General features: G+C 43.5%; 1 annotated feature.

Annotated features, from left to right (window-relative positions):
* Nucleotides 1,494-1,995: an enhancer, noted in NCBI's record as "H3K4me1 hESC enhancer chr7:152796011-152796512 (GRCh37/hg19 assembly coordinates)". NCBI's record gives its function as "activates a minimal SCP1, AML or CMV promoter by ChIP-STARR-seq in primed H9 embryonic stem cells {active_cell/tissue: H9 hESC(primed)}" and the evidence as "EXISTENCE:reporter gene assay evidence [ECO:0000049][PMID:30033119]".

Below are 11,383 nucleotides of genomic sequence, written 5' to 3'. Positions count from 1 at the left end.
AACAAATAGTATTAGTTTGGTGCAAAAGTAATTGCGGTTTTGTCATTTAAAAAATGGCAAAAACTGCAATTACTTTTTGTTTTTGTATTTTGTTTTTTGAGGCAGTCTTGCTCTATCGCCCAGGCTGGAATGGAGTGGCACAATTTCGACTCACTGCAACCTGTGCCTCCTGGGTTCAAGCGATTCTCCTGCCTAGCTGGGATTACAGGTGCGCGCCACCACGCCCGGCTAATTTTTGTATTTTTAGTAGGAGACGATGTTTCGCCATGTTAGCCAGGCTAGTCTTGAACTCCTGGCCTCAAGTGATCCACCTGCCTCAGCTTCCAAAAGTGCTGAGATTACAGGCATGAGCCACCATGCCTGGCCCGCAATTACTTTTGCACCAACCTAATAGTAGCATGTTGGTAATCAAATCAACTGTTTCAAAACCTCACCCATCTAAAACAGAATTAACATTCACTAAAATGTCAGCATATTCTGTCTTCTACAAGATTTACTTTATGGCTCCAAGTTTTTAATCTCTGGATTAAACTCATATTCACACTAAATATGCATTAATAATAACAGAAGTATAATTCTTTATTCCTTGTAGGCAGGTTTGTATCCAAGGAAAGAAAATTCTTAACTGAATGAGGTAGCTCCCCAGGGGATACATGTTTGCCAAGTAATCATTTCAAGCAGTGCTTAGGATATGTTTGAGCTTCATGTTTGTGTGACACAGACTTCTACCTACTCTGCCTTCAGTGGTCATAAACTTCAACTGAATGATTGTATTTGGTAGTGTATCTTTCCATGTCATGGGACATAGAATCCCAGGTAGAGAGAAATGAGAGAGGGGGAAAGAGAGCTGAGTAACTGGAAAGACACAGTAAAGAGATTTGTATACCCAGAGACAGAAGCTGGGAGGGAAATAAGGAGCCACATGTGAAGCAGGCAGCTCCATCCCCGCCCCAACCCATCATTCTCACCTGACACACTGTGTCACGCTTGTGCCCCTGAGAAGCACATGCTGAGATGGAGGTAGGAGTGACAGAGATTTATGGAGTGGTGAGTAGGGGAGAGTGCCTGCGAAAGATAAAGAGAGAAGAAGAAAGATGGAATATCATCTCATACTGTGGAACAGCACTGATAAAGTCTCTGCAAACTCAATGGGGGGCTTCGGGGCAAAAATTGCCCATCGGAGGTTCTGGGCAGAAGTGGTGAGACTCTACTCCTCTCACCGTGGAGCTCAGCAATGGCCTGGGGCCCCTCAGGTTGAGCGCAGCCTCATTTTGAAAGGCAAGGTGGACTCTGAATGTGCTGACAACTGGACGTCGTGAGTTGACTGCACTTCTTGCAGCTGAATAAATTCTGCATGGTGGCTGAGGTCTATGCGTGGGGCACACCTGCACGGTGGCTGACACCTGTGTGTAGGGCACACTGCCATGGTGGCTGAGGTCTGCGTGGAGTTCACCTCCATGGTGGCTGAGGTCTATGTGTGGGGTTCACCTCCGTGATGGCTGAGGTCTGTGTGTGGGGTTCACTTCCATGGTGGCTGAGGTCTGTGTGTGGAGTTCACCTCCATTGTGGCTGAGGTCTGTGTGGGGTTCGCCTCCATGGTGGCTGAGGTCTGTGTGGGGGGCACACTTCCATGGTGGCTATGTCCACCCAACGCACCTCCATACATGTACATGGAGAAGATTCCCCAAAGTTCCCCTGAGCCTCCCCTTCTGAGGGGAGCTTGAGAAATGGGGGTCAATGGCACCAGCTGTGCCCTGTCATGCAACTGCAGCTCATCCTCATCATCTTCCTCCTTCACTACACTTTATAAATTCCCTTCTTCCTCGGTTGTCATCACCTCTACTGCTCTCAATGGCTTACCTGGTGTTTTGGATTTGCATTGTGTCCCCCAGAAAGATATGCTGAGGTTCTCAACCCAAGTACCTGTGAATGTGACTTTATTTAGAAATAGAGTCTTGGCAGATGTAATTAGTTAAGATGATGCCAAACTGGAGAAGAGTAGGCTCTGATTCCAAATGACTGGCATCCATATAAGAAAAGAAGACACAGAAACAGCGGGAAGACGGCCAATGTGAAGACAGAGGTAGCAATTAGAGAGATGCATCCATAAGTCGAGGATTTCCAGGAGCTCCCCAAACAGGAAGAGGGAAGGAAGGATTCTCTCCAGCATGTTTCAGAGGGAGTGGCCCTGCTGACAGTGTGTTTTCAGACTTCTAGAAAAAATGAAGTTCTGTGGTTTGAAGCCTCCCAGTCTGAGTACTTTGTTACAGCAGCCTGAGGAACTAAACATGATCCAGTCCTGCTTAAAGGGGTGGGAGCCCCTGAGGATCATTCATAGTTTAGGCCAGGGTTGCTATTCTTGTCAATTCGCAACCACAATCAGACAAGGGAGTACCCAGGGGTGCCAAGTGGATCGCTGGAGTCCCACACTGGACGCCCACACTGGAGTCCCATGTTCCCTTCCTGGTCTTACACAACAGCAACCCTATCTTCCTTCTGTGTGGGGGGGTCTCACCTGCATGGTGAGGATACATGTGCAGAACATGCAGGTTTGTTACATAGGTATACATGTGCCATGGTGGTTTGCTGCACCCATCAACCTGTCATCTACATTAAGTATTTCTCCTAATGCTATCCTTCCCCTAGCCGCCCACCCCCTGACAGGCCCCAGGGTGTGATCATCCCCTCCCTGTGTCCATGTCTTCTCATTGTACAGCTCCCACTTATGAGTGAGAACATGCGGTGTTTGGTTTTCTGTTCCTGTGTTAGTTTGCTGAGAATGATGGTTTCCAGCTTCATCCTTGTCCCTGCAAAGGACATGAACTCATCCTTTTTTATGGTTGCAAAGTACTCTCCTCTCTGCACTGTGCAGATAGGCTCCTGATAGCCCAACCTATAGAACAGTTCTGCAGACATGCATGGTCATGTTCAACTCCCAGCAATGAGTACAGATGAGGCTCAACCTGGGACCATCGCCAAACCAGAAAACCGTCATGTTCTCAAACTATTAAGAGGGTAAGGGCAAAGGTGCTGCCGCTTCTCCTCCATCAAACGTCATCCTCCCTTCCCCTCTCTCTCTCTCAGTAAGAAAGTGTTTCCTCCACTAAATACTTTAGAAACTTTTGGAGTTTTTTTCTTTTCCTGAAGTGTAATTTTATTCATGCTGTGCTTACCTTAAACATAAGCGTATTGGAAGAACTCCCAGACATTCTGCATATTTTTAAAACATTTCAAGCTGATTTTCCTTGGTAAAAACAATCTTCCTTCTTCCTGGAAGTGTCTTCAGCAGACGATGCTTCCTTTGAAGACCACCTTCTACTGCATGCAAAGACTTAAAGGGGGAATACTTTAGCCGGCATTGAGCAGAAGGATAAAAAGCTCTGAATAATCATTGTTCTCACTTCCAAAGAGGATAAACAACATGGATTTTCCAAGGTAAAGAAATACTTCTAAGGTGGTTTTCACAGGGACTTCTCTGATTCTAAGCTCCTAACTCTTCTGTCTCCTGCAGAACTCTCTTGTCTAGGATGCAAGACAAGCCCGCCTAAAGTCTTAGAATGCCTGCGTGCTATGACTTCATTATATGTTGCTAATTCTCGTGTGTTTAAAATGAAGTGAAGACTGTATTGCAGTTAGTCGGAAGGTGCACCTCACCTCCTAGCTCTGAATACATGTGGCTCCATCATGACACCTCAGGCACAGCATTTGATTTAAATTTATTTCAGTAGCCACTGAAGACCATTAATCAAGTTCAGTGTTCCTCAAAGTCTGGCCCAGGGATGACCTATGTCAGAATCATTTGGAATGCTTGTTAGAAAAGAAAAAAAAAAAAAAAACATTTTCTGGTTCTTACTCCAAAACTACTGAATCAGAATCTTTAAGGGTGATAACTACAAATAGGCATTTTAAACAGCTTCCCTGCATGACTTACAAACATAGAAAAGTTTGAGAGCCATTACCCGACAGAGTGATTACCCTAACGTGTCTTGTCCTAGCCTGGTCCTTGGGAGCATCCCTTGGACCGAGAGTAAAGAATATGCAGTTAGAAGGAATGGATGTGGGGTTATGAGACCCAGGTTGAGGATCTGATTTTGCCTTGAATGTGCCACTTAACTGACTTCATGAACCCTCTTTTCTGATGTCTGAAACAATAATGATAGCATTTTGTTTTTTGTCAAAAGAGTTGTTGCAAAAATTTCAAGACATAATAAATGTAAAAGCATTTCATAGACTTAAATTCTCCTTCTTGATTTTTTAAACCACCTAAACCTTACAGAAAGTTTGCCATACAAACTTTTTGTACTGCAACACAGTACCAAGAAAAAACCTCTTTTCTTCTCTGAGCCATTTGAGAGTATGTTGCCATCCTAATGGTTTAGTGGGTATTTTCTACAACCTAGGATGGTCTCTTACATAACCATAATTCAACCATCAAAATCAGGAAACTTGCAGTGATACGTCACCAACATCTAATTCTTTGACTCCCCTCAAGTTTTGCCAGCTGCCTTGATACATTTTTTACAACAAGAGTAATGTAAATGTTCAAACATCACACGTTATATTTCGTTATCATTGATCTTTATGTATGCTTAATTAAAACAATTTTCAGGTCTTTCCTTGACTTTCATGAACGGGATCCTTTTGAAGATTGCAGGCTAATTATTTGGTAGAATGGCCCTCAGTTTGGATTTGCCTGGCATTTTCTTGTGGTTACATCCTGGTGACACATCTGTGGCCGCAGCAGCTCAGACATGACCCTGTGCTCTCCTCATTGCATCCCTCAGGTGCCGCGTGACTTGGATTTCTTCCATTGCTGGAGATTTCACTCTGACCATGTGGACAGGATGGTATCTTCCAGGCTTCTTCATGTAAAGTTATTCTTTCCTTTTTTTGTAATTAATAAATATTTTGTGGGGAGATACTCTGAAACTGTGTAAATATCCATGCCTCATCACATTTTCAATCTATTTATTTGTCTATTTATATTGGTATGAACTCCTGGCTTTCTATTTTACTCAATGGTTTAACATCTGTCACTATCATTACCTATTTGACCTTCAGATCCCCTCTGATGTGGGCAGTGGGAGGTCCTCTACATGGCTTCTGTGTCCCTTTGGCTTATCCCCATCATTCTTTGAGCACTTTCTTGTTTGCTGGCCAAACAGGAGGGTCCATTCTCACCTTTACTTTCTCTTCTCCAGTCCTGGTATCAGCCATTTCTCCAAAAAGCCGTAGCTCGTTGTTGTGGAGAATAATATTTAGAAGCCAAATTTGGGCATTTGGAGTGCTCATTGCAGCAGGAGTGTCACTGCTCCCAGTTCCTCTCAGTGGACAGAACTAGGGAATATCTGTGTGTCTATGCGTACAACATACACGTTTACATCTGTATTTATTCCTTTAACTATTCGTATGTCCATATTTTCATACATATGGATAGGTTATATATTCTTTATATAAAATCATTTCATACATACAAATTATTTGTTTGCACAAATACCTCCAATGTCAATCCAACATTGCAATATTCATCCCAGCTATTTCCCTTCTGATATGGTTTGGCTGTGTCACCACCCAAATCTCATCTTCAGCTGTAGCTCTGATAATTCCCACTTGTGGAAGGGAGCCAGTGGGAGATAACTGAATCATGCTGATGGTTCTCCCACACTGTTGTGGGAGTGAATAAGTCTCATGAGATCTGATGATTTTTTCCAGGGTTTCCCCTTTTGCTTGGCTCTCATTTTCTCTCTTGCCTGCCGCCATGTAAGATGTGCCTTTCTCCTTCTGCCGTGACTGTGAGGCCTCCCCAGCAACGTAGAACTGTGAGCGCATTAAACCTCTTTTTCTTTGTAATTCACCCAGTCTTGGATATGTCTTTAGCAGAAGCATGAAAACAGACTAATACACATTTCCATATCTGTAGCTCCATTTTGGCAACCCCCTTCTCCAGTAAGAAATCTGGCTTCTCATATCTTTAATGTGTTTACTTCACTGATCAGTCCCCTTGAATGCAATCAGTCTCCCACATCAGCCTGTACTCCCTCCTCTGGATAGACACCCTCCTCACCCCCTCAAGCTCCAACACCCCATGCCAGGCCCCTCACCAGGATCCCCCACCCTGCTAGGATTCTGACACCATGCTCTGTGCTACTGTAGCCCACTGCCCCACTGCCAGCACAGACACCAGTGTGCTCCACCTCACCAGTGGCTTAAAGATTTAGGTGTTCAGAAAAATACAAGGGGAAAAGCCATTTTTAGGATTCTTTTAAAGTTTTTTACATGTTTAGTCCTAAGGCATGTGTCATTTATGAAAAACTATAAGGAGATCTTTTAGGTTAGGAGGGAGATCTTTTAGGTACAATCAGTATCAAAAGAAGAGATTTGCTGCCGATTTTCATTATCTGGGATTTCTCTAGGACACCAGAGGGCTGGAGGCACCTGTGTCACTGCTCCCCATTCATGCTGAGGAAGATGTAACCCTACAAGGCAACCTTCAAGCATCAGAGCACAGTGAAGAACTGCTTATGTGCCTGACTCTGGACAGCACCCCAGGGACAGTGTGATGAAAATAAACAGCATCTGTGCTAGAGAGGTTTAGTATCCAGGAGAAGGATTCAGACACACAAACGAGAGCAGTTAACACATAGCCACGCTATGATGGATGCTTACGAAGGGACCACTGGGGACCAAGGAAGGTTCTGTAGTTTATCTGATGGGATCTGGAAGGGGCTGCATTGGAGAAAGTGGTGCTTGTGACATTTTAGGCAGAAGGATCATGCATATAGGTTAGGAGAACCATTAATAAAAGTCGGATGTAAGGGCGTTTGAGAGTGATGAGAGAGGTCTTCTATCTGCCATGCTGCATTAATTGGGTGACCACTGGCAGGTCTTTTAGCAGACTGTGTGTGTGTAGAGTGGGTTAGGGAATACTGTATCTCCTACTTCAAAAACTAGGTCTTGAGGAATTAACAGGAAGAAGACTGGAACTCCTTCATAAAATTTTATTTTCTTATTTTATTCATTTATGTATTTCTGAGATGGAGTCTTGCTCTGTCACCCAGGCTGGAGTGCAATGGTGCGATCTCAGCTCACTTCAGTCTCTGCCTCCTGGGTTCAAGTGATTCTCGTGCCTCAGCCTCCCAAGTAGCTGGGATGACAGGGGCGCACCACTACACGCAGCTAATTTTTGTATTTTTAGTAGAGTCGGGGTTTTACCATGTTGGCCAGGCTGGTCTCAAACTCCTGACCTCAGGTGATCTGCCAGCTTCAGCCTCCCAAAGTGCTGAGATTACAGAAGTGAGCCACCAGGCCCAGCCCTAAAATTTTTCCTCTAATGAAATCTATTTGGAAGTAGCATTCCAGACCAAAGGGTACCATGATGTATTTGGAATCTAGGACTCTGAGCAAAGTCTCATGAACAGCACAGGCATTGGCCAGACCAAAGAAGAATGACATTGGGTAGAGTATTGACTGGAGGCTGATAGGAAGTGGGTCTACTCTCCCACTGACCAGAAAAAAACAGCTGTGAGAATCCAAAAGCCCACTCTATATCCAGGTGCCTTGGCCCTGATGTAATGGAAGCAATGAGAAGCTCATTTCCTGGGTGTACTCCTCTGTATCCATCTCAAATTTCCCTCTGTCTCTAGGACCTGATTACCCTAAAAAAAAAAAAAAAAAAAAAAACCTTAACCCCAACTTTTTCCTCTTCTTCCTAAATGTCTTGTTTTTGTTTCATGTACTGTAAAGTCAAATAATGTGTATTTACTATTAAAAGCTAAATACAGGCTGGGTGCCGTGGCTCACACCTGTAATCCCAGCACTTTGGGAAGCTGAGGCATGTGGATCACCTGAGGTCAGGAGTTTGAGACCAGCCTGACCAACATGGCGAAACCCTGTCTCTACTAAAATTACAAAGATTAGCCGGGCATGGTAGGTGCCTGTAGTCCCAGCTACTCAGGAGGCTGAGGCGGGATAATTGCTTGAACCCGGGAGGCAGAGGTTGTAGTGAGCCGAGATCGCACCATTGCACCCCAGCCTGGGTGACAGACCAAGACGCCATCTCAGAAGAAAAAAAAAAAGCTAAACGCAGGTTTCCATCTTTCAGAGACATATATTGAGGGCAACAGAAGAATGACCTATTCTCGCCTGCACCTGAGATGTAATTGTCTTTGCCAAATTCCTGTGGCACCTCTGCTTTTATTTTGTTTTTTTGGTAGTCTTCAAAAATATTAAATATTTTTGTCCTTTGTAGAGCTTAATTATTTCTGAATATAGTAATGTTTACAATATTGGGGAATTAAGGGATTGATTAAATCTAATATATTGGTTAAACAAGGATGTAACTTTAATCACATCTTCCGACACATGTATTCTAACATTTTGTTCACTCTTCGCATCTTTGCTTCTAATGTAAAATCCTTTCTTGAATCGGAGAGATGAATGGCTTCAAGTGCACATCATCCCAGATCACCTGCTTCATTTCTAATCGATGCTGCATCTCTCCTTCACATTGCATTTCCCGAGTAATGTATACAGAAGAAAAGATTGGCAGAAAGGCCATATGTACAGGGAGCTTTCTTGCTTTGATTGAATTTTGGATTAAAGCCTTCTTCAGGGATTTATGATTAAGCAGTAATTCCAAATGTTAACGGTTTCTGCCATGGAACTGGAAATAAACACTAACAGAATTGAACACAGCCATTCTTTGTATTGTATACAATGAGAGATTAAAGGAAACCCAAACGTGAAGTTCCTTTCAAATATGCTTTTGACAAAAGTCAGCATCCATGGAAAAATTTCCATTTTAGACCCTGCTCTAAGTCTGGAGTAAGAGTTAGTGAGGGGAGAGAAGCTCTTGGGGCACAGGTAACGGACCATGGGGGCTGTAGCATTCGCGTGTGGTTTTACTTGCCCTCGTAGCCCAAAGGCCAAGGGGGGTCTGCATCTTTCGGCATGCAGGACCTGGTGGGGGTTGGTCTGTCCTGAGAGTGGAGAGATTTCCCCAGTCCCACAGGCTGTGCAAGCCTCAGGACGCTGTCTTTCCCGAGTCAAACAGGCTCTTGCTGGTTCTCCTTTCTGTATTCGCAGTGGGCCTGTCCACCTGCACAATTCTGTCACTTGCGCACCCAGCTCTGTGGCTGAAATTACCACTGAGATCGATTCATCGCATGCTTCTGCCCAGGGTAGCAGAGAGTCAGAGCCTGCAACGGCAGCAAATTGCAGAAAGAACCACGCGGCAGTCTTGAGTCATCTCCTGCCTTGCTCAGCGCCTGCTCGCTCACATCTGCACCTGCGTTTCAGGAATATCTAAAATGTTAAAAATGCTGCTTGCGTTTTTCAGGATTGCAGCTATCTACTCTTGGACTCTGTGACGAAGAAAATGAAACAATATGATCTGCCATTTTTAGGAGCGGTCACAGGAAAATCTAATTTTATCTTCACAAAGACTTGTGCCTACCACCACGTTGACTCAGATTATCCACTGGAGGAAGAGTCTTTGCACTAGAAAGAATGACCGTGTGCAGCTTTGAGAGCTTCCAAATCTGCTTTTTATTCTATAAATTAATATATTCAGTTGGGAAGGCTATAGGAAGGCAAAGGACTTTATGAAATCAACCAGGCCACTATCTAATTTTCAAATCATTGTTAGACATTCCCAACATTTTAGGGTTTGCAAACGCCCTAATTTCAGTTGCACGGATTATTAAATCTATCTCTGTCTCTATCTCTTCATCACTCCTAGTTTTAATTTAGAGGTTTTAATATTGCTTCAGAAACTACTGGTGGAAATGTAAAAGTCAGGTTGTTAATAGTTTCATCTAGTATTTTGGAAGACCTTCAATGACACCATTAAAAATATAATGATTCCTCCTTTTTTCCCCAAGCCAGAGGGATTTTAATTTTCTTTTCCTGTTGTTCCTAGAAAGGACATGTTGTAACAGAGAGCTCTTGTGCCTCCCTGTGGCTGGTCATTTACATTATGTCTAATTCTGTGCCATGTTTCGGGAAGTGAATGAAAATATACAAACTATCATTTATTCTTCTGTACCTTTCATATGACAAGGAAAAAAAGTGTTTTGGAGTATTTTAGGTATGGAGCACAAGAAACTACTGATTTCTTGAAAAGGCGTGATGGACATTAGTATACTTTTGACTGTAAATAGAATGAGTGAACTCAAACTGAATTAAAATGAAAGGAACAATAAGAAAATTATTTGGCCCTGTAATTGGATGTCTACAGGTAGGGCAGATGTCCAAACTGGTTAATTCAGCAGCTCAATGATGGTATCAAAAATACTGGTTCTCTGTTTCTCCCCTGTTTATAAAGGGGAGGCTGGTTCCCCCACAGACACATGTGTGCTCAGCGCTTCTTCAGAATAGCTATAAAGAGAGACTTCGGTGGCTTCCAGCAGCTTTTCCAAGACAAGTGAGGGACTTCCTTTTCCAGAAGGCTCTAGAAACCCTTCCTCATGCCCCATTGGCCAGAATTAGATCACATGTCCTTTCCTCAACCAATCATGGGCAAAGAGGAGAAGCACAATCAGGCATAGATTAAAAAGGGCCCATATCTAGCGTGGGGACCATGGTTCCCTGCTGCACATGGACTGTGAGAGGAAGAGGTGAAAACACCTGAACAAAACCTGAGTTTCTTTTAGGAATGGAAAAGGGAAAGTTACTGCTGGGGACCAGCCAACAATGTCCACTATGGGTGCTGAGGCAGAGATCAAATGATTACAGAGGGGAATCTTCCACAGCTGTACGAATACATTATTAGACCAGGATTTGGAGCCAAATGCCCTTGACAGGTAACGAATGAACAGGCTGGTGTCCTTTCATAAGAATGGCAGGATTTTGGCCAACTGTGTGTGCATGCCTTCCTAAATAAAGCATTCCTATATTACTCAGTTAAACAAAACCCTATTCCAATCCAATCAAAATAGTTCTGTTGGTGAAATCTCCTCAGAGGGTGGCAGTTTCCTGACCTCTCCAGGAAAACTAACAGATTTTGCAGAATTGTCATTTGAAATTAGAAGGAGGAAACAGTGACAATCCAAGTTATCTAATTTTGTGAACATGAATAGCAAGTCAAGATAAGCCGTTAATAATATCAATCAAGTAATCACAAACTGTGAATGTTGTCAGAATCAAAATGAAGTCACTAATGTTAGGAAAAACCTGGCAAATAGAGCCGGGGAAGACCATGAAGAGAGGGTTCTCATGCATATATGTCTGATAACGAAAACTATCACAAAAGACTGCAAAAACCATAACCTCGCACATCAAAACCTTACACAAAAAAAACACTTCTCCAGGACCATCTGCCCTGCAACTGCCTGTCCAGCCTCAGACCAATGTTGTCCTTGTTACTGATCTTTGCAGCCAAGGA

Source organism: Homo sapiens, chromosome 7 (genome assembly GCF_000001405.40).
Source record: "Homo sapiens chromosome 7, GRCh38.p14 Primary Assembly".
NCBI classification, from domain to species: Eukaryota; Metazoa; Chordata; class Mammalia; order Primates; family Hominidae; genus Homo; species Homo sapiens.
Note: the sequence above shows the minus strand (reverse complement) of the source record. Positions and strands in the feature narration are given on the sequence as shown.